This window comes from Homo sapiens, chromosome 1 (assembly GCF_000001405.40).
Source record: "Homo sapiens chromosome 1, GRCh38.p14 Primary Assembly".
Taxonomy (NCBI): domain Eukaryota; kingdom Metazoa; phylum Chordata; class Mammalia; order Primates; family Hominidae; genus Homo; species Homo sapiens.
In genome coordinates this window covers 210053358-210078548 of record NC_000001.11, presented here as the reverse complement: position 1 = coordinate 210078548, position 25191 = coordinate 210053358, and the positions used below count along the sequence as shown (strand labels likewise).

General features: G+C 34.9%; 1 protein-coding gene across 17 annotated transcripts in view, besides 2 other annotated features; it reads right to left on the bottom strand.

Moving 5' to 3' along the window:
* SYT14 (synaptotagmin 14) overlaps nt 1–25191 on the bottom strand; it is a 233173-nt gene that overhangs the window by 92841 nt on the left and 115141 nt on the right. The gene's annotated exons all lie outside the window — the stretch shown is intronic.
* Nucleotides 7774–7943: an enhancer, noted in NCBI's record as "experimental_2872 CRE fragment used in MPRA reporter constructs". NCBI's record gives its function as "activates a minimal promoter by MPRAs in K562 erythroleukemia cells, with activity observed for both the introgressed and non-introgressed 1:210244036 variant alleles {active_cell/tissue: K562}" and the evidence as "EXISTENCE:reporter gene assay evidence [ECO:0000049][PMID:34662402]".
* Nucleotides 21367–21536: an enhancer, noted in NCBI's record as "experimental_2861 CRE fragment used in MPRA reporter constructs". NCBI's record gives its function as "activates a minimal promoter by MPRAs in K562 erythroleukemia cells, with activity observed for both the introgressed and non-introgressed 1:210230443 variant alleles {active_cell/tissue: K562}" and the evidence as "EXISTENCE:reporter gene assay evidence [ECO:0000049][PMID:34662402]".

Below are 25191 nucleotides of genomic sequence, written 5' to 3'. Positions count from 1 at the left end.
GGGGAAAAGAGTCATTAAGTAATATTCTTAGTATGTGCAATAACCATATTTTATAAGAAATACAATTTGTTTTTCCTAAATATTTGTCATGGCACATCACTTTTTTAGTGTTTGTCAAGACCTACTAAACTGATTTCATGATCCACATGCAGTTATCAAATCACTGTACCAACCCTGTCAGGCCATTTACAGTTCCCTGAAATAGATGCATTTTTTTTTTTTTTTTTTTTTTTTTTTTTGAGACGGAGTCTCGCTCTGTCGCCCAGGCTGGAGTGCAGTGGCGTGATCTCAGCTCACTGCAAGCTCTGCCTCCCGGGTTCACGCCATTCTCCTGCCTCAGCCTCCCGAGTAGCTGGGACTACAGGCGCCCGCTACCACGCCCGGCTAATTTTTTGTATTTTTAGTAGAGACGGGGTTTCACCGTGTTAGCCAGGATGGTCTCGATCTCTTGACCTCGTGATCCGCCCGCCTCGGCCTCCCAAAGTGCTGGGATTACAGGCGTGAGCCACCGCGCCCGGCCTAGATGCATATTTTTATGCTTCAGTGGTGTTTGCTATAATGTTGTTTCCAACATCAACATGGAGATATCCTTTGTTTTCAATGTCCAAGACTTCAGTTCTAGTATAAAACCTTTTCTGGTCTGTTTAACAATCCCTTCCTTTGTGGCACCATTCTGCATCTAGTTTCCATAGCACTTAACACAGTATTTAATTCTTTATTTAAAAAAATTTCCCCCAAATCACAGTCAGATACCACTTTATACCCCATTAAAATATCTATGATAAGAATATAGACAATAGTAAGTATCGGTAGGTATGAAAAAACAGGAATTTTCATAAATTGCAGATAGAAACGTACAATGGTACAATCATTTCAAAAAACAGTTATCAAAATTGTAAAAACAGAGTTACAATATGACCCTGCAATTTGACTTGTACATTTGTATTTACTCAAAGGAGATAAAAACATGTATCCACACAACGATTTTTTGTACATATATTCACATCAGCATTACTCATATAGTAGCCAAAAGGTAGAAAGAACCCAAGTGACCATCAAGTGATGAACGATAAACAAAATGTGGTACATCTATACAATTTAATACTATTTGGCAATTGATATGGTTTGGATATTTGCCCCCACCTAATCTCATGCTGAGATATAATCCCCAATGTTGGAGGTGGGGCCTGGTGGCAAGCGTTTGGGTGATGGGGTGGATCCCTCACGGCTCGGGGCTGTCTTTGTCACAGTGAGTGAGTACTCCTGAGACCTGGTTGTTTTAAGTGTGTGGCATCTCCCCCCCACCGACTCTCTCTTGCTCCTGCTTTCACCATGTGAAGTGCTGGTTCCCACTTTGCCTTCCACCATGGGTAAAAGCTCCCTGAAGCCTCCCCAGAAGCCGAGAAGATGCTGGCATCATGCTTATTGGAACTGCAGAACTGTAAGGTAATTAAACCTCATTTCTTTATAAATTACCCAGTCTCAGGTATTTCCTTATGGTAACACTAGAATGGCCTAACACAGCAATAAAAAGGAATTCTACAATAAGGAAGAACCTTCAAAACACTATGCTAAGTGAAAGAAACCAGTAACAAAAAGCCACTGATATGGTTTGGCTGTGTCCCCACCCAAATCTCATGTTGAATTGTAATCCCCATTGTTGGAGAAGGCACCTGGTGGGAGGTGATTGAGTCATGTGGGTGGAGTTCTCATGAATGAGTTGGCACATTCCCCTTGGTGCTGTTCTCGTGATAGTGAGTGAGTTATCATGAGATTTGGCTGTTTAAACGTGTGTAGCACTTGCCCACTCTCTCTCTTCCTCCTGCTCCAGCCATGTGAAGCGCTGGCTCCCCATTTTTCTTCTGCCATGATTCTAAGTTTGCTGAGGCCTCCCCAGAAGCAGAAGCTGCTATACTTCCTGTACAGAACCATGAGCCAATTAAACCTCTTTTCTTTATAAACAGCCTAGTCTTGGGTATTTCTTTATAGCATCGTGAGAATGGACTAATACAGCCACCTTTTGTATTGTTCCATTTATATGAAAGGCGAGGAACAGGCAAATATAAAGAGACAGAAAGTAGATGAGTAGTAGTTACTTAGATGCTGGTGCTGGGGAGTGACTGCTCATGGGTACAAGATTTATTTTTTGTGTGATGAGAATGTTCTAAAATTAAATTATTGTGATGGTTGTAAAACTCTTGAATTATATACTGTGAGTGAATTTTTTGATATGATACTGCTCATATCAAGTCATTCAGGAGTATACACCATGGCATCTATATTAGTAAGAGCACCTTAAATTTCAGCTTTTTTGGGGTTCCACCTAGTAATCAATATTAATCATGACCCAAAATTATCATCAAAGATTCAATTAAGTCAAGTATCTCAATAAAACTCTCCTACTTGTCTCTGAGATTCTAAGTGGAGAAAATGGCTCTTACTATTCCCAAAGTCTACAGAGTAATATCTCAATGGATAAATGAAGTAGCAAATCTGTGTTAGTTGGAGGCAACATAAAACCAGTAAGATAGAATGCTGCCATCAAAAAGTTTAAAGTTGTTTGCTTAAGGGATAAGCCTATGGGAAAGAAAATTATATAAAACATAATACTTAATATTTAAAAAATACACCCATCATGCAGGTACTATTTAACACAAATTTAAGTCCCTATTAATAGCAAAGATATACCTTTGGTAACAGAAAATCTATACAAGGGAACTACTGATACGGAAGGAGGGCAGGGAAGTGCTGGGAAGGGAAAGGCAGGTCCCTGGTAAGGGCTCTACCCCCGCAGGCCTGTGCCCACAGACCTAGGTGAGGACAGGTACTCCTGTCTTTGCGCCCAAATGTTGCATTTCCTAAGACCACCCTGGCCAGCCACGCCCCCATCCTGTGCCTATAAAAATCCTCAAGACCGGCCAGGCACGGTGGCTCATGCCTGTAATTCCAGCACTTTGGGAGGCCGAGGCAGGCGGATCACGAGGTCAGGAGTTGGAGACCATCCTGGCCAACATGGTGAAACCCCGTCTCTACTAAAAATACAAAAATTAGCCGGGCGTGGTGGCACGCACCTGTAATCCCAGCTACTCAGGAGGCTGAGGCAGGAGAATCACTTGAACCCAGGAGGTGGAGGTTGCAGTGAGCTGAGATTGTGCCATTGCACTTCTCAACAGAGGGAGACTCTGTCTCAAAAAAAAAAAAAAAAACAAACCCTCGAGACCCTAGCAGGCAGGCACACAAGTGGCTAGACGTCAAGAAGAACACATCAGCAGAAGACACAAACAGCTGGACAGCGAGAGGACATCGAGGGGAGCACGCCAGCGGAAGACCAGCAGAAGAGCACACGTCAGCTGGCACGCCCACAGGCCATCGACTGGCTGGATAAGGCCAAGTTTGGCTGGACGAGGCCAAGTTTGGCTGGGGTAGTCAGAGGAGAGCCCGGGCCGCTGAGCGGTCGGACTCCAGGGGAAAACCATCTCCCTTCTGGCTATCCCATCTGCTGAGAGCTACTTGCGCTCAATAAAACCTTGTACTCATTCTCCAAGCCCACGTGTAATCTGATTCTTCCAGTACACTAAGGCAAGAACCCTGGGATACAGAAAGCTCTCTGTCCTTGCGATAAGGCAGGGGTCTAATTGAGCTGACTAACACAAGCCGCCTATGGATGGCTAAACTAAAAGAGCACCCTGTAACACATGCCCACTGGGGCTTCAGTTGTAAACATTCATCTCTAGACACTGCCATGGGGTCAGAGCCCCACAGCCTGCCAGTCTGTATGCTCCCCTAGAGGTTTGAGTAGCGGGGCACTGAAGAAGCAATCCACACCACCATCACACGCCCTGAGAGGGGGACAAGGGAACTTTTCCCATTTCACTATTATGGAGAGTTGGGAAAAAATGTATTGCTTTCTGAGGGCATTTTCTTCCGACAGTAAAGAATTTACAGAATTGGGACTGTAGTCACCTGAGAACATCCTAACAGAAATTTTTTTACAGAGTGAAGTATACCTCTTCCAACATTATTAATAAACAATGTAAATTTTAGGGCAGCAGTTGGGTGACAGAGTGCCTATGTTTGTATCAATACCTTATGCTCATATAATAATTTATGGTCTATACAGTACTTAACAGGAGCTAAGAATGTGGGTTTTGGTATTAGACTACCTGGTTCTAATTCTACCTCTTCCATTCACTAGCTATGTGACTGTGGACAACTTATTTACATCTCTGATGATTTTATTTGCTCATCTGTAAATCAGGAATTGTAATAGCATCAACCTTATTGTAATTTTTGAAGATTAACTCAGTTAATGTTTTAAGTGCTTTGCGCAGTGCTTCATAGTGTCGGTAAATTTAGTTGTTATTATAGTGATCATATTAGCATTAATCAATACAGTAACCCCCTGAGGTAGGTGAGGCTCAGAAAGGATAGATAAATTAGATTTGTATTTTTCATTTTTTATTTAGTGTTCTTGAGAAAAGGCCATGGAACTTCTAAATTTGTTTTCAGATTAATTTTGGACACAGTCTACCCTGTTAAACCATAAAAAATGTTATGTTTTTACATCTGAGTTTTTATTAAACTCAATCAACAACTTGAAATAATAAATTTCATCTGTTTTCTTGATATACCAAATTAAAGCTTTGTGATAGTATATGCAAATAACATACCATAATTGATACTATAACACATACCAAAGATTTTATTTTAGATTCAGCTTAAGGCCTGTTGAATGTGTATATACATAGAGACAGAATACATTTTTTGTTGTGTATAAATTGGTGATTTGTTTTTATATTTGTTTTATGAAGTAGAAAAGAACAAATGATTTTAGAAAGACAAAAAAAAACAAAAACAAAAACCCAAAACATAACTCCATTCTGGCCTGTAAAACATACATGGACTATATTGGATGATGTTAACAGTACAGTTTGTTGGGGAGTATATATCAATAAAGGCAAGAATGAGAACTAATTAGCTTTTACTTATGACATAAATTGGGGATGTGATATCAATTCTTTGAAGATAAAACAATAAGGAAGTTTCACTCCCATTTTGTGTTAAAAGACTTCAGGCATTCTGAGGATTTTTTTTATTTTTTCATTTTTATAATACCAAATAACCAGACACTTCAAAAATAGATGGTTGAAATAGTAGCAATTTAGGATTATGAAGCAGTTAAGTGCTTCACAATGTTGATGTAATACAGCAATTATAGACCTTTGTAATTCAGCTAAAATGCTTTGTTTTCTTGTTATTCATATTGAAACTACACAGTAAGAATACCTCCTTATTTTCAAAGGAAAGGGCTTACATTTTAAAAAATCTTTGCATTAATGTTTTGACCATTGTTATGAACTTACCATTGAAATTTATTATTTTGTAACTAAAAATAAAATGAAATACTAAGGGGGAAAAGGTTGTATAATGTTAGAATTTTGATTAGCAATCACAGCTGCACCAGAATTAGTTTCTATAGCAACAGGAAGAAATAATGTGTTGAATTGCAATGCAATACAAGATTTTTTTTTTTTTTTTTACAGATTGCAATTCAAAAGGAAATCTTTAAAGAATTTTGTCTTAAAAGAGTTATTAATCTTTTATCCATCATAATTCTCTAATGGAAAATACTTAATTATTCTTGTCTACTTTTCCTGAATCCTGTTTTGCTAATTTAAATTTAGTATGTCCCAAAAAATACAGAAAATTTAATATACCTGAACAATAAGAATTTTAACTACTGTATCATTTGCATTTTAAAACAAAAATGCATGGAATAATATTCTGTATGTTATTTAGACAGAAAGTAAATCTCAGGGGTAGTTTAGAACCTACAAGGAAAAGTCTTAAGAAGTGCTTTTCTGAATAAACTATGTTGTAGGACTAAGAATTAAAAATGATAAGCAAATACTATATTTGTATCAGTATGAAACTAAGTCTTCTCTTTTATGAATGTGTACTCCTGTACTCCCATGTCCAAATTGTGATTAAGAAACTGCACTACTATGAGTATTCAGAATGTACATCTCCCTTACTTTAGTAGAAAAATATAATACTATGGGCAGCATTTAAAATTTAACACTGCCCATACTATTTCTAACAGTGAAAAATATTTCACTGCATCCTCTCCAGCTCTATTTTTGGCAACTAATTAAAAGCATATGCCTGAACCTTTTATGTATTTTACCCTTATAATGAGATCTATTACTATGGCTCACTCTATGCCTCTGAGTTCCAAAGTATCTTTGGAGTTACCATGGATACCAGTGACAAGTATTCTCCCATAACTGCTCTGTGTCTCATCAAACACAAGAAAACTGACATGGCAGGAATCAAGGCATCAAGACATTATGAATCTCTAATTGTTTATATCACTGTTCATGCTTTTAAAAAATAGTATATATATATATATATATCTTTAATTAACCAGCTAATCAGCTAATTATTTTAAAAAATCTGAATAGACATCAAATTATTGAATAGAAAATGAGTTATTTTTAAAAAGGTATAAACATTAAAATAAGCCAATATGACAATCTGTGATTCAAAGTAAAACCTGAATCTGAAAGTAAACTTGAGTTTTGAGTTCTTCAGTAATAAAAACTTCTAATTATATGAAAGACAATATCTCATAGGAACATTCATATTATATAGCCCATAATAAAAAATTTCAAAAGAGGTCATTTGTGAGAATATGCAGATTGTTCAAGGTTAAGTGTTAACTTGTAATAAAAACATCACTGCAAAATGGAATCGAAGCTTTTTTTATCAGTAAAATTATTCGGATTATGTCAGAAATCATCTCATTCTACCCCTACTTTCTTCTTTCTTAGTGTAGCAACCAAATCTTTCTTCACTATTTAATATCTTCTACTACATATGAGATCTTTTTAAAAAATCAGGAATTGAATATCAAACTCAGCTCCTACAAAAAATATTTTTCAACAACTCCTTTTGTGACTTATCCTTTTAAAAATAGCATAAATATGTATGAAGCAGTTAGGCAGACTTCTTGTCAGAGAGATACAATTCTGCTTTTTAAGACACATGTACCCACATAAATAATAAGAAACTTCACATGACATAACAATTCACAGGAATTATATTATTCAATGTGGCTAGGCAAGTCCTTTTAGTGAATGTTTAGTTATTTTAAATTTTATGATTAAGATATGTATTACAATGTAGAAACACATATTACTCCTTCTATAAGGACTTGTGACTTAGAGATCATAGAGTGAATAAACATAAATATTTTTATCTAATATATAAATATACTACTTACTAAAGGAAAGCTCTTTAATTTACAAGCAATACATATATATACAAATTCAGTCTGATGCAGTGAATTTCACAGAGGTTCCAACTCAACACTCACAATGCCTCAATTTTTCCATCTGTAGAGGGGGAAGGCATCTTTTGTTGTTTTGGAAAGATTATGAAATGTTTCTAAGTAGAAACCATAAAAATAGTAAAAAATGGTATTACTAGGCTTATATGAGAATCAGTTGAAGGAAAAATATTACAATACATGTCTGAAGTTTTTATCAAGACTCACAGTGAATGTTTAGTCTGTTTTTCCTCATCACAAAGGACTGTAGCAAAAGTCTAGCCAAAAAAAAAAAAAAAAAAAAAAAATTATACCCAACTATCTTTGTTGAATTGAGCTGACTAGCAGAGAAAATGTATCCACCTAAATCAGCTTCTCTCATGACTGCTACTGGAGACAATCCCATGTTCTGTTAAGAGTGGTTTGGAGAAAAGCAGACGACCCTATACCAAGAAACACTCAGCTGATTTCAGTGTGCCTCTTCTGTGCCCACATACAACAAAGCGCAAGCCACTTAAAACTCCAAGTGTACCTGTCTTTCCCAGTAAATGGTAAACAACGGGCATTTGTTTTAAGACCTATTTTGTGCCAGGCATTATGCAAGTTACTAAACTCCATAGGCCTTGAGAAGAAAGCCTAATTTGTCAAGCTTTTATAACAGGGAAAGGGAAAATCAATAAAGAACACTGAACAGGGAGAGCAGAAACCTGAGTTTGAACCCATGGTCTGCTACTAAAAAGCAAAGTGAGTATTTAAACTCTCTGGGCTTTTGTCCATAAACTGCTAAGATCTGTGTAATTTTAACTACAATGAATCCATAACATTTAACAGTTCCATTTTGAAAGTGGAATAGAATAAGGGATTAATTTTCTAAAAGTGAAAACTGCTATTGCTGCAATGGATTATAAAAGGGAACTAGAGAACCTCATTTCTTGAAAGTCTAGATACTCTAACAGAGTTTTACCTTTTCATATTTGAGATCCAGGCCTTCCTGCAAGACTACATAAGCTCCCAAGATCCTTAAATGTATGGTGACGGCACAGTCGGGGAGGAGATGGAGAGCGGAACGAGAGAAGTTGTATGCAAAGGTTAAAACATGAAAAGAATAAAAACATTTTTTCCTCCTCAGAATAAAATGTTTATGCTAAGTGATGTTTAAGTGACCACTATATTTTGCAGACATTTTACATTAATATGCTAGGATCTCATTAGTAAACTCAACTTTAATGTGAATAATGTTTTGCTTCAATGTTTCTAAATTCCTAAAGCTGTTCATAATGTGATCTTTCCTGAGGTTATTTCCAGAGAGAGATGCCATCAAATGCAGAAACCATCAAAAAATTTTGCACACTATCACGTTCCTGAAAGTCACATCATGACAAAGGCAAAAACAAAAAAAAAGGTATAACAGAGAGAAAAAAAAGCATAGAAAAAGTGGGGTAAATGTAAGAAAATAATATAGCAAAAACACGTTCAAATAAGAATAATTATAAAAAGTACTGCGATAAATACATAGGAAGTAAATGTTTACAATATACACTTATAATTAAGAATAAAGGTTGAATATTAAAGAATAAAAAAGATAACTTAACAAATACCAATTTTTAAAAGCTGTGTAAGCACATTATAACAAATAAAATAGTTTTTGAGCCCTCTCTGAAGAGACATAAATATAAATACATAAAGAAGGTTATTACCACAAAATGATATATGGGACAATCCACCAGAAAGATGAATTTGTAAACATGTAAGTCCCTTATAACACAATGTTAAAATAATTTAAGAAAAACAGACAGAATTCCAAGGAAAAAGCTGACAAAATCTACAATCATAGTGGAAGATATTACATATCTCTCCTACTGATTAAAAGGCAAAGCAGAAAGAATATTTAGGAAAGATACAGCAGATGAGTTGAACTCAATAAGCTCAACTAAAAGACATTCACTGAAACTTATAACGAAGAATTAGAGAATGCATACTCTTTTGTTGGATACAATAGATATTAATCCCCTTGACACACACATACACAAATACACCAGCCGCATAAAGCAAGTCTTAACAAATAGGAAAAGTTGAATTGCATAGATTTTGATAGCTGATCACAACACACTTAACTTAGAACTCAGAAACAAGAAGAGATTTCTTTTAGCTTAAATATTTGGAATTTTATATCCAAACCCAGCAACTGAAAAAAATCATAACAGCAATTAGAAAAATTATAAAAACAAATAAAAATGAAGATATTGCATATTAAAATGTGTTGGATACAACTGAAATGGTATTTTAAAAGGAATGTATAGCCTTAAATCCACATGTTAGAAACCAAAAAAGACTGAAAAACAATGAAGTAAGCATCCAGCTCAAGAAGTTAAAGTATAAATCTAAGTAAAAGAAAAATGAAAGTAGATAGAATAAAATTTTTAAAAAACCAATTCTATAGAGAGGATTAACAAAACCAAAATGTTTCCTTGAAATAATTAAAGAATTATTTTTTAAAAACCCTGAAAGAATTAAGTAAACAAAAGAATGCTATTAACAACTTTACAATCATAATTCTGAAAAATGTATACAATAAAAAATTTTTGGAAAAATATAATTTACCAAAACTGACTCATGAAGAAATAGAGAATCCAATGACACCTACATTAAAGTATTAAATCAATAAAAATCTATCTATAAAAAAACTCGTAAGATACAAGTGATTTCATAGGTTGATTCTACCAAACAGAGAACAGATACTCTTAATCTCGTATAATGGTCTAGAGAAATGAAAAAAAGCAAATAATCCAAAACTTGCTTTACAATTTTGTAAAACCTTGATCCTAAGACTCAAACAAAGATAGCAAGAGAAGAAATAGTGTATAGTAAGCTTCTCTGGGAAACCCCTTTATAAAGGGAACACAAGAGGTAATCAAAAGACAGCATGACAAATTGGGTTTTATTTCAGAAACACAAGGTTAGTTTAGCAAAGGGATATCTTTTAATGTAATTCACAACATGAACAGATTAAAAGATAAAATCCATGTGATTTCCAAAGATTAGAAAGAGAAAATAATAAAATTAAACATCAATTAATGATTATCATTTTAGCAAACTAGGAACAAAAGGGAATTTCCTTAATTCAATAAGAGGTATCTTCCAAATAACCAGAGCAAACATCATAAAAGGCAAACATTAGAAGCATTCTCTTTAAAACAGAAACAAGAGGCATATTCACTGGTATTAAACATTGTATGTGAGTTCCTAGCCAGAGCTAGAGGTAAATTATTAGAATTTATTAGAAATAATGAACAAGATTGTTGAACAAGATACCTTTCCTAATAATTTGCCTGTAGAATCTCTTTCCTCTTCTAGATAAGACAACCATATCATTTCCAAGCAATTCCTGTTTTATTTCTTCCTTTTCAATCTTTACATCTCACATTTCTATATTATCAGCTTTTCCTAGGAACTCCACAAAAATGTGAAATACCACCTATCAGATTGCCAAAAATGCAAAAATCTAGCAAATGTAAGCATTGATGAGGACATAAAAGATCAGTAAGAAGGCTGTTAATGGGAGGGTAAATTTTAAAAATACGTTTAAGATGCATAAATACCAAATTCTAGAATATGGTGATATATAGAGAGAGGTCTTCAAATCTATATAATGTTTCAAGTCCTAAAAAAGTTCTCAGAATATAGTAATATGAAATTCTAACGCATGACACAACATGAATAAAACATCTGAAAACTGAAAAACATCGTTGAAAGAAATTAAAGAAGACTTGAATAACTGGACAAACATCTCATGTTCATGAATTAGAAGACTTAATATTAAGATGGCAATATCCTCCAAAGTAATCTACAGATTCAACACAATCTCCATAAGGATCTCAGACGAATTCTTTGTAAAAATTGTCAAGTTGATTCTAAAATCCATACGGAATTGCAAGGATAACCAGAATAGCTAAAACAATAAAGAAAAAGAAGAATACAGTAGGAAGACTCACACTTTATGATTTCAAGCTTAGTAAAAGCAACTGTAATCAAGAGAGTGTGGTACTGGCAAGAGGACAGACACGTAGATCAATGACATATACTTGACAGTCCAGAAACAAAACCATATGTGTATGGTCAACTGATAAGGGTGCCAAGGCCATTCAATGGGGAAAGAACAGTCTTCAACAAATGGTGCTAAGTGGTTATTCACATGCAAAAGAATGAAATTAGACCCTTATCTTATACTATATATAGAAATTAACTCAAAATTAAATACCTAAATATAAGAGCTTAAAGTATAAAACTCTTGGAAGAAAATGAAAAATTTTTTATGACACTGGTTTTGGGAATTATTTCTTGGATACAACTAACAAAACACAGGCAACAAAAGGACCAAGAGATAAATTGAAATTCATCAAACACTTTTCATTGAGCACTGTATTAGTCCGTTCTCACGCTGCTAATAAAGACATACCTACAAAAGCCAAAATTGACAAATGGGATCTAATTAAACTAAAAAGCTTCTGCACAGCAAAAGAAATTACCATCAGAGTGAACAGGCAACCTACAGAATGGGAGAACATTTTTGCAACCTACTCATCTGACAACGGGCTAACATCCGGAATACAATGAACTCAAACAAATTTACAAGAAAAAAACAAACAACCCCATCAAAAAGTGAGCGAAGGATATGAACAGACACTTCTCAAAAGAAGACATTTATGCAGCCAACAGATACATGAAAAAATGCTCATCATCACTGGCCATCAGAGAAATGCAAATCAAAACCACAATGAGATAGCATCTCACACCAGTTAGAATGGCAATCATTAAAAAGTCAGGAAACAACAGGTGCTGGAGAAGGTGTGGAGAAATAGGAACACTTTTACACTGTTGGTGGGACTGTAAACTAGTTCAACCATTGTGGAAGTCAGTGTGGCGATTCCTCAGGGATCTAGAACTAGAAATACCATTTGACCCAGCCATCCCATTACTGGGTATATACCCAAAGGATTATAAATCATGCTGCTATAAAGACACATGCACAGGTATATTTATTGCGGCACTATTCACAATAGCAAAGACTTGGAACCAACCCAAATGTCCAACAATGATAGACTGGATTAAGAAAATGTGGCACATATACACCATGGAATACTATGCAGCCATAAAAAATGATGAGTTCATGTCCTTTGTAGGGACATGGATGAAGCTGGAAACCATCATTCTCAGCAAACTATCACAAGGACAAAAAACCAAACGCCACACGTTCTCACTCATAGGTGGGAATTGAACAATGAGAACACATGGACACAGGAAGGGGAACATCACACACCGGGGACTGTTGTGGGGTGGGGGGAAGGGGGAGGGAAAGCATTAGGAGATATACCTAATGCTAAATGACGAGTTAATGGGTGCAGCACACCAACATGGCACATGTATACATATGTAACAAACCTGCACGTTGTGCACATGTACCCTAAAACTTAAATAATAATAAAATTAAATTTAAAAAAGTATTTCAAATGTATATTTACATACATTTCATTGAAAATGAAAAGTTAAGTAAATATTAAAAATTATTTTCATGTTTTCAAAAAAGTTGCCTTTTAAAATATTCAAAATTATTTTTTAAAAGACAAAATATAATTGTCTCAATTTTAAATAAAAATTTAAATAAAACTTAAAAAAAAAAGACATACCTGAGACTGGGTAATTTATAAAGGAAAGAGGTTTAACTGACTCACAGTTCAGCACAGCTGGGGAGGCCTCAGGAAACTCACAAACATGGCAGAAGGTGGAAGCAAACACATCCTTCTTCACATGGCAGCAGCAAGAAGTGCCAAACAAAAGGGAGAAAAGCCCCTTATAAAACCATCAGATCTCATGAGAACTCATTCAGTATCACAAGAACAGCATGAGAGGTAACCGCCCCCATGATTAAATTACCTCCCACTGGGTTCCTCCCATGACATGTGGGGATTACAGGAACTACAATTCAAGATGAGATTTGGGTGGGGACAAAGCGAAACCATAGCAAGCACTTTTGTGCATCAAAGCACACTACCAAGAAAAGATAGTCCACAGAATGGAAGAAAATATGAAACAACTCAAAACAACCCAATTCAAAACTGGGCAAAGGACTTGAATATACATTTCTCAGAAGAAGATAGACAAGTGGCTAGTAAGCACATGAAAAGACGCCTAACACCATTAGTCATTAAGGAAATGCAAATCAAAACCATAATGAGATACTAGTTTATACCCACTAGAATGGCTACCATTAAAAACAAAACTAAGCAAGGAATAACAAGTGTTGGCGAGGGTGTGGAGGAATTGGAACCCTCATGCATTGCTGGTGGAGTGTAAAAGGGTTCAGCCATCGTAGAAAACAGTTTGGCAGTTCTGAGGAAAGTTAAACATAGAATTAGCATGTGACCCTACAATTCTATTCCTAGGTATACACCCAAAATAACTGAAAGCAGCAACTCAATCAGACACTTGCACATCAGTGTTTATAGTAGTATTATTCACAATAGCCAAAAGGTAGAAGCAACTCAAGAATCCATCAGAGGATGAATGGATAGGCAAAATGTGGTATATACATACAGCAGAATATTATTCAGCCACAAAAAGAAATAATACCTGGTACAATATGGATGAACCTTGGAGACATTATGCTAAATGAAATAAACCAAACACAGAAGGACAAATATTGTATGATTCCATTTACATCAGTTATTTGTAACATATAAATTCATAGAGACAGAAGATAGAATAGTGGTTACCAAGGACTAAGGGGTAGAGGAAATGAGTTATTTTTTAATAGGCAGAGTTTCTATTTGGGAAGATAAAAAAGTTCTGGAAATAGTTAATAGTGATGGTTGCATAACATTGTGAATGTGCTTAGTGTCAAAGACCTGCATACTTTAAAGATGGTAAATTTTATTTTACATATTTTACCAAAATTAAAAGAAATAAATAACAGATTTTTAAAAGGATGAAATTCTGATACATGCCATAACATGAATGAACTTTGAAAACTTTATGCTAAGTGAAATAAATCAGACACAAAAAGGCATATATTATGATTTAAGTTATATGCAGTCCCACTTATACAAGATAAATTGTATGCTGCGTATATATTTTACCACAGTGAAAAACTAAATAGAAAAAATTCACTAGTGTGGGATAACTAAAAGTCAGCTTTCAAATGATTTGGAAAAATGGATCGTGAAAATATGAAAGCATTGTCAGCTAGCCTTCTAAAGAGATTTATAAGAAACGGAAAGAGGGTGTTAAAAGGACTTTAAAAGATTAGAAGGCTGTTATATCTCAAGTTGATTTTTAAAAAAATACTAAAAAAAATTAAGATTAGAGGGAGGGTACTCTTCATATAGGGAAACCTAGGAGTGTTTAAGAATGGAAGAATGTGAATCATGGAGAAAAAAGAAGTCCATCACACAATAAAAAAGAATAAGTGATTACTAATAACCAATTCCAGCTGTGGCCAAATGAAGACAGCAGTTAAGGCATAAGAGAAGTATCTGGCCTCTAGAATACAACGTAGAAATGATGGATAAAAACATAAGAATATTTTGAAATGGAAAGGAAGGGCATCAAAAAACTTCACAACGGTAATTAAAATCTGCATTAAAAGTAATCAAGAAACACTCAACATAAACTCAATGTGATCTCATTCAAAATTGCACCAGAATTATTCTAAAAGTTCAGCTGAAAAAATTATTGAATAAGAATAACCATAAAAGATTTGACAAGGAATATGATGTTACAGCATTAGACACTGTCATAGAGAAATTAATTGGAACACAATAAAGTTCAGAAATAGATACAAGTCCAAAAAGGAATTTAATATAGGATAAAAGCAGTATTTCAAATCAGTGATTAATAAATTAGATTTTCCAGCAATAACATAGTGATAAATGGCAGCAATTTGGAAAAGAAGAATGCTAGATCTCCACTTCAGTTCTTGCAACAAAAATCAAAGCTAGCTCAAAGATTTACAGGTAAAAAAGATGAACCCATAAAAATACTAGAAGAAAACATGAACAAAATTTTCCAAATCTCAAAACAGGAAAGGTCTTTCTGAACGTGACATATAATCCAGAAGCTATAAATGAAAAAAACAAAAAATCTGAGATAATATAAAAATTTTGGGTCAACAAAATCACCATCAATGTTAAAAAAAAAAAAACTAGAAAAAATATTACATGCAACAAAGGCTAATATTCTTAATATTCATGAATTATGAATCAAGAAGAAAAATACCATCAACGCAAAAGAAAAACGGTCAAATTTACCAACATGCACAAATAAATATACATGCATACACACAGCATATATAATACAAGCACATAAACTATAAAAAACTAAAACATTTAATATTAAACTTTAAAACTAGAAATTATTTTCACAATTAAAGAACAATTAAAACGTTAGGAAAAATGTATAGTTGGAAATGTAAATTAAAATATAAGTGTCAAAGATACAGATTGTAGTTAGAATGAACTGTTTTCTACCAATTTGAAATGGGAGTGAAAGGTACAGGAATTCATGAGAATAGAATGTCAAATTTCATTTGTAAACTACAACGTTTAGTTGTACCCACTGCAATTCTAGAATTCAAAATGGACGTGTTGATGGCAAAGTGGTATAACAAGCATCAAATCTTCCTGCCTATTTATTGAAAAATATGTTAGAAACAGCATGGCTGAGCAATCAACTAATAATCTGTGAAAGGTAATCCTTATTCATTTGCACATTATTGTGCTTTTGTTTTCTAGTGTCAAAAGTTTGACAAATTAGAAAAAAAATCATTGACCCAGTATACTTATCAGACACTATCTTTTATATTTGTAGAATACAAAACAAGTTATTATATTTGCAGTCAACCATTTGCAGAGATCATCCCTGGATAGTTTTACACTGTAAGAATCAAATTTCCAAATATGCACTTGGTTATTAGTTCTATTTTTAACCTGCCACTCATATACTGTCGTGTACTTAAAATTCAGAACATGTTTACATTATCCATCCAGCAGGCTAATGCAACTGCACACCAGACAGTCATGCATAATTCAAATCAATATCCTCAGGCTTGGAAGTCTAAGTCAAAGCTGCCTTTAAAAAAGCTAGGGTGTTACTTTAACATGAATAAAGTATATCTAATTTTTCTTTTTATGTGACAAATTGATACTTTCTGCAATGGAATGCCAAAAATGCAAAGCCACTGTATAATAGATCTTTACACTATTGAAAAAAAGAGATAATTGAAAAAATAAGGCAACTACAGTAGTCTTAGAAAATTAACTCTAAATACTGAAAGAGACAAAGCTGAATAAGATTCAAATAGCAAAGCTCACAATATAACAATAGATTATATGAAGTTTAGCCAACAAACAACATGTACATAAAATTACAAAATCAAAGTTCTAAGTTATATTGTGAATTGAGAATACTTTTAATACTTAAATTCAGATTACTATTTTTGTATCAGTAAAGTTAGTTTCATTTAAATTCCTTAAGTATAAACCCCACTACTAAATTTCCATAACTAGTTACATGTCTAGAAGTGACCCTCATCTGTAAAAGCTCAAGTCTATCAAACTTAAATTGAGTTTTCTTAGTTAAGCATGTCAAGATACAGCATTGAATATCCATTATACCAGACTCTAGTTTATGTCACCTTTACTGTGGATATTTGCTTTTAAAAGAATAAGGAAAAAAAGATAACTGAACCTTAGTCTATAAACATCTATTTTTGAGGCTACTAAGAACATAAATGTTTACCAATAACTTGAAATGTAACACACAGTTGATTAGCCTCTGATTTAAAATTCGCATAGGCAAGAATAAACGCATATATTTTGATAATTTTTCTTCCCAGAAGCTTCAAATTTGACTCAACATTTAAAGAAACCCTCCAGATACGAACATCATTGCTCATGCAACCCAACTCAATTATGAAAATTTCGTATTAGTCCTATTCAGTATTACTGACATACCAAACATAATATCCTCTACAATGACAGGCCATTAATGTCAAGGTGTAGTAATATGAAGGATGAAATTAATGGGATAGAGAAAAAGGATTCAATGGTATCTGAGATAATGAAAAAAAAGATTAAATGGCAGGCCTTTGGGAAATACAATAAAGGCATGGAAGTCCTTTCAGTGAAGACAGAGAATCTAGTTCAGGTAAACAAAACATATCTTTTCAGTTTTCTTGCAAAGATAAAAAACTTAAATAACGATGACAGAGTAGATAAATCAAAGATGTCTTAATTGATTAAGCCCTGAATTTAATTAGGAGTTTATAGATAACGCTGTTGATCAAATCTATTCACCAAGTATTCTGTAAGAAAATAGCAGAAAAACATGTTTTATAGCAATTCAACTGCCAATTAAAGCTGGAGAAAATGATGCATAGAAATTTAACATCATAACAGCAACAGCAAATGGAAAATTGCCCTAAAAAAGGACATGTGATCTCACTCAGCAATAATAGCAGCATGGCCCATGGATTGAATATATATATTTTTTCCTTTCTATTAGAGGGCTGTTTCCCTTTAAATTTCCATATTTTTTGCCCACAAGTACAACCAATGAATATTTTAAACCTCTCTAAAGGTAAATAAGTAATTGGCTCAGAGTTTTCTTCCTTTACAAACCTACTTTGGAATATTTGTAATACAGCACCAAAGTTCAAAGCACACAGAATTCTCACGTTAATCCTGACATAGAGACAAATGATAAATTTTAGAAAAGTAGCTATATAAAAGAACTAAAAGAAAGATTACAGAATATAAACCGCATACCAGTTTATTTTTTGAAGTTAACTTTACATATTATGCTGGCAATTATAAAGGCAATAAAATGCAATTTTAGTAGCTCTACTTAGGAACATAGGAACTCAAAATGTGAGAAGTGGAATGGACCTTACCTTAGATCGCATTGCCTAACCTTAACATTTGTGCAAAAGGAAACGTGAGCCTGTGACATGCCTAAGGTAATAGTTTATACAAAGGGTAAGATTAGAAACCATGTCTGCTATTTACAAGTCTCCTGAGTACAGACCTATACAACCATACCCATTGGCTCTAACTACGTCTAAGTTATGCTTAAGAAAAAACAAATGAAGTTGCATATAATTCCAATGCTGAAACAGATGTAGCAAGGACCAATGCTAGACTAGAGCTGAGATGCAGATACCTCTCATACAATGGAATTAGATGGCACCCATATCCTTCAATTTCCCACTTCCCAGTTCCCACCCCATTTCCTCATTCTCCACCCACTGTAGATAAACTTGCATCCACTGATTTATATGGGAGGGTGAGATGCCTTCAGAGAAAGCATCTTAAACTAAGACTATATATAAACATGTCTTGCAAATTAGAGGGTGAAGTGAATGTAACAATCCAAATTTCTGAAAAGTGCAATGAGACTCTTAACACTCACAATAAGAAAAGGAGATATCTTTCACAGAAAGCCATATCAGGCTATCGGGCCTGAGGTCAGAGAAGAGTATGGACCCCTAGTGCAATGTGGTGGCTAATAAATTATTTTATCCTGCCAATTCTGGCAATGCATTCACACCCTGGGAAGAAAACATGCAGTGCATGAACTGAAAGAACAGCCTCTTTACATCCTAGGGCCCACAACTCTGACAGTAATTATTTCAGTTGCCATTATTTTGGAAATAATGTTAATGTAATCCTATTCATGTCTCTCTCTCTCTCTCTCTCTCTCTCTCTCTCTCTCTATATATATATATATATATATATATTCTTTCTTGTCATCATGCATATACAGGTATATATATAATTTATCTTACTCAGGTTGAGTAAGAGAATTTGTCAACTCTTAGCCATCAAATTAATTCCCAAATTAGTATGGGACTTTAGCATGGGAAATTCCCAGGAATTTTTTGCATGGGAAATTTTTATTCTAATCCTTATGTTTTAATTGTATGATAGTGAATTTCTCTCATCCTGCCCTTAATTTGATCCTAAGGCAGAGTTCATTCATTACCAGTCACTTTCTGTTAGTAAAGAATCTAGTAGAATTTAAAGCTAGTAGAATTTAAAACTCCATTCCCAGGTCTAACTTAATTTCCTCTCTATATCTAAGTTTCTAACTTGTAAAACAGAATTAATAATAGTTCATAGTTCACAGTGCTGTCAAAACATTAAATGAACTAATATAAGTAAAGGGCTTAAAACAGTGCCTGTTACATCGCAAGCACTATATATGTATTTGCTTTTGTTACTCCCTCCCTCTGATGCCAGCTAAGCTTCTGTTCATGGAACTTTTGAGTGGGAGACAAAGTGAGGTCTGCACTTTTAATCCTCTTTACTCCATCCAGCACCTTGAATGACTTCATTCGGGAACATTTTCCCCTCTCTTCCACCTCTAATTACTCTGATGTGTTGGGGTAAGGAACAGGAATAGCAGAAATTGCTGAGACTGCCTTACTGTTTGCATGCAGGTAGTAGAAAGGTACCCTAAACCTCACTCTAGCACTGGTTGGCTGTGGTAGCTTTTGCTGATATGGTGGTTTCTTCATAAATTACGCAGATAATTCATTTGGGTGATATTCAGCTTCATCTCAGCCTCTGCAGTCACGGAGGAACTACCAAGAGGAGGGCAGCCAAGTCTTCCCCTGTGGTCAGCAGTCCATACTCCTAATCCCCTAATTAGGTAACAAATTCCCTGGTTTGCTGGTTGCCTGATTAGCCCTATAACTCTTGCCTCCTCTATTTTCCATGCTCCTTCAAAGGGAGCCTCAAAAATATCTCCGTGTTCTTCACAAATCTCAAGTGCCCACTGAAAAAGACGATGAGGCAGAAGAGCTGTAACCACAGTACCTCCCAACTTCAAAACTCCAACTCTCTTTCTCCCCCTACCTCATCTCCTGCTTATTTGATATGGTGTGGGAGTGGGAGCACAGCAGTTAGACTGATATTTGGGAGCAATAAAACCAGTTTGGACTACCTCATAATAAATACGTAGGGAAGTCTCTGACCCAGAATGTCAATGGCTGTTAGCTCAAGATTTTAGATAGAGAGATGAATTACTATTACCTCTTTATTCCAGCTTTCGGTCCCTAGTCACCGATTCCAGAATAACAAAACCCTCAAGAAAAGTCCCATTAAACATCCTGATACAAACACAATTAATATAGGGACAAACAATCTTTCTTATACATCACTATAATCTGTGGTAGGTATAGACCTAAATGTACAACCTAATCAAATGCCTATGTAAGAACACACAGGGAGAGAAAGTTTATGTGTTCTGTATATTCTGAGAGATGGTCCTCCTTACCCCCAAATAGTCACAAGAAATCTGCATATGGAAGGAGTATTCTGTTGTCAGGCTATGGGGAAGTAGGAGTATAGCTAGCTGTCAAACATGAATGATTTATTACTCCATTTTGTGGCCATATCAAGATGAATGCAAAATGAAAGAGATCATAAGGAATGTTAAAGAATCAAACTCAAGAAACTCAAGAAGTCCAAATATATAAATCATTAACAAAATCAAAGGCTAATGGTAATAAGGGCAAGAGAGGTTTTAATTAGAAAAATCAAGTTCATAACTTTGTTCCAATTAAATAAAAAAATTATTGATTTATTAAATTTGCATCCAGCAAGCACTATGTGAGATACGGGGAACTCATACCAAAGTGAAGTGAAACAAGTTACTGTACATAACAAAAGAATATCCAAAGCAACCGAGGTCTATAGAAATTCTGAAAATAGAAAGATTAATCTGTGAGAGTGTTGGCAAGAAAACTTCATGGCAGGAGTTGGCCTTAACTTTGGCCTTGAAATGCAGTGCTAAATAGGTTGAAAGAGGGTTCAATGTTTCAAACTGGGGTACAATATTAACAAAGGTACAAAGTCAGCCATGATGCATGATGACCAAATTACCTCTGCAAAGAACTGGCCAACTAGAGAAGGTTTTAAACAATGGGAGAACAAGGAAAGGTTAATTTAGATATTTATACTACCTCATGTTTGGGTTTGTCTCCAATCTTGGGATTTCAATTATCAATATCAACTGGGGTCGGGCGTGGTGGCTCATGCCTGTAATCCCTGCACTTTGGGAGGCCGAGGAAGGCAGATCACTTGAGGTCAGGAGTTCCAGACCAACCTGGCCAACATGGCAAAACCCCATCTCTACTAAAAGAACAAAAATTAGCACAGTGTGGTGGTGTGCGCCTGTAATCCCAGCTACTCAGGAGGCTGAGGCAGGAGAATTGCTTGAGCCTGGGAGGTGGAGGTTGCAGTGAGACGAGACTGCAGCTACTACACTCCAGCCTGGGTGACAGAGCAAGACTGAGTCTCAAAAATAAATAAATAAATAAATAATAATAGTAACAACTGGAAGCTTTCAAAAAAACTTTTGTTGTTGTTGTTGTTTGATACGGAGTTTCGCTCTGTTGCCCAGGCTGGAGTGCAGTGGCGTGATTCTCCTGCCTCAGCCTCCTGAGTAGCTGGGACTACAGGCACATGCCACCACACCCGGCTAATTTTTTTTTTTTTTTTTGTATTTTTAGTAGAGACGGGGTTTCATCATGTTAGCCAGGATGGTTTCTATCTCCTGACCTCATGATCTGCCTGCCTTGGCCTCCCAAAGTGCTGGGATTACAGGCATGAGCCACTGTGCCCGGCCCCAAAAAAACTTTTTAGTTATAGAACCTTTTGTTCAAATAAAATCTAATCTATTTAAACTAATAAAAGAAGAAATAAGGAGCTCGAGCTCTGCCTCCTCATTCTGATTCCCTGACCCTCATTTTATCTTACTCCTAGAACAAACCCCTACCAAGGATCCACAGAACCCCTTAATGAAAAACATGTTTAAAACTTGTGGAATATTTTTTTGGTGGGGGGTGAGGTCTCAATTACCTTTTAGTTGGTTCAATTCTCATCTAGTTGCATGCCCTATAGATTCCTTCACCCACAGTTTCACTGAAAGCTCTTGAGAGACAACAGCTCCATAAGGATAAATGTTGGAAATATTTAGTTGAGTACAGCTTTTATAATACGATGTCATCAAATGTACTTTAAAGAACATAAACTTATAAAGGTAAGTTTCACATTGGGTGCTAATTTATATCAATTTTTAAAGTGAATATAAAATAAAGTTTGCCTCTAACTGTATAATTACAGAGTTTTAAATCTGAAATGAGGATTAGTCTTAGGCAAAATAGCATTTTTTAAAAATAGCATCAAAAATCTTATTTACATGATGTTTCTAAATGTTCTGTGAGAAGTAAAACACCTACTTAGAAGAGATTTCTAAATGGTTAAAGGTGAACTGGAGATGGTAACTGAGAACTCACTTTGACTTAAATTTTAGTTGATATATAACCAATAACTATAACAAATTAACTTTTTATATGGGAGACAATCCTTTTTTTTTTTTTAATTTCGAGTTCAGTGGAACAATCATAGCTCACTGTAGTCTTGAGCTCCTGGGCTTAAGTGATCCTCCTGCCTTAGCCTCCCAAGCACGCCACCATACCCAGCTAATTCTTTGTATTTTTTTTTTTGTAGAGATGCGGTTTCATTATGTTGACCAGGCTGGTCTCGAACTCCTGGCTTCAAGGAATCTTCCTGACTTAGCCTCCCAAAGTGTTGGGAATATAGGCATGAGCCACCGTGTCTGGCCAACAATTCTATTTTTAAGACATTCTAATAGGAAAAAAAACATATTTTGCCCTCTCAATCAATAAAACATCAATTAAAAGCTAGCTGTTCCCATTTTTTAGATAGTTTGAAGTTCATTAACTTTTACTTTTTTCAACAAATTATCAATGGGCATACCTATTTAATTTTATACATAAAGACTTTTCATAAATACAAATATGTTAATAGCTACCATTTATTCAGAACTATCATATCCCAAGACATGCAGTATTTCTAGTCCTCACACTAACTCTTTAGGGCAAGTATTTTTAGACAATTTACATTTAAGAAAAGACTCTGAAAAGTTTATTATATCACATAGATAATAATCACTGAAGACAGGATCAGAATTAAGTTTTTCCACAGCTTATTCATCTCTTGACTCATGTGAAAATCAGAATATGATGAGAAACAAGCCCTTTCACTCAACAGAGGTCCAGAAAGGCTCAGGAATTGAAGGCATTAGTACCTTAGAAGGTAGTGGGTAAGAAGTATGCTAAAACAAGAGTAGGCAGATGAAAGCTTGCCCAGTAAGCAATATCAACACTCCCACCCCAAACTGTGTCCTCTATAATAGGCACCCAAGAATCCAATTAAGGAACATCAGGCATAAGAGGAAACAGGGATAAGCACTCCCCCTCTGAAAACAGAGAATTAAGTGAAAATCTGATGAACAGTTAAATGCTCAGCTACCTTTTATTACTCAGTTCCAAGAGTGCTGCAGCCAAGCAGTATATCACACTTCTCAACAAAAGCAGGATAATGAGGATAATGGAGGATTATTCCGAAAAATTAAGGGGCCTAAGAGACAACAGTTATAAACACTGACATGTGGGAGTCTGAAATGAAATGGTCATATTCCTTCCCAATCAACTAGCAGTGAAGTCACTGATAACAAACTCAGTCCAGGCACACAGTTTCTAATCTACTTTTCTACGTATCACTGTTACATATGACAATCTCTACATATGTGAGAAAACCTCCAATATAAAAGACAAGAGACTTAAAAAAAAGAAAATGTAATATAAGAACAAGAAAAAGGCTTAAGATGGAAGAAAAGAATATCCTTAGTGATGAAAAGATATTACAATCATAAAATAGGAACAATTACTTAAAGTAAGAAACCATCAGAGACTGAGAAGCAACTCGATATTTTAAAATGTGATAGCAGAAAGTTACAGTATGGGAGGAAACTAGGCTTTTCAATATCAAATGAATAATCTTGCCAGAAACAAAGGAGAAAATGGAAGGAACTATGAAATAAATGATTCAATTTTTTTTTACATCTTAAGAGATGAATATTCAAACTGAAAGTGTCCACCAAATACCTGGCATCAACAATGAAAGTTGTACCCCAGGTACAATGTTACAAAATTTCCCAACACAGGAAGAATAATAATTAAAACTTGCAGAGAAAATAAAATATCTAAAAATAAATGAGAACCAAAATAGCAACACTATTAGTGAGAAGACAATAGAGCAATGACTTCAAAATTCTATAGGAAAATGATTTCCAAACTGACATTCTATACCTGGCCAAACCATTAATCAATTACAAGTTAGAATAAAGAGATTTTCAAATGTGCAGCATCTCAAAAAGCTCACTTGCTATACACTATTTCTCTGGAAGCTACTGGAAGATAGGCTTTATACCAAAATGAGAAAGTAAAAAAACAAACAAAAAAGACTGTTGAGTTTGTAATATACTTACATACATAAATTAATAGAAAATTAAAGGTGCTGTGATGATAAGACCAGAGTTAGGATAACAGTTAACGGCTCTAGATTTCAATGAGATTGGTACCAGAAGTTGAACATGTAAGCACTCAAACTATAGACACAATCCACAAAATTACCTAATGAATGCTAGGAATTGTTACATTTACCTATTTGACAAGCTACCTATTACTGTTCAACTAAACCAAACAATTTTCCTGCCTCAACAGTTAACTCATCTTCCTGCCTCTCATTTCCACCAGCTCCAATCCATTCTTCATAGACTTAATAGGGTTATCTTCCTAAAGCAAAAGTCAGGTCATGTAAAGCTTTTAGTTTAAAATCTTCTAATGGCCTTCACTGCCTAAAAAGCAGTCCTAATTGCTTGGCCCATCAGTTAAGACCCTAAATGATCTATACCAATTTAACTTTTCAGTCTTATAT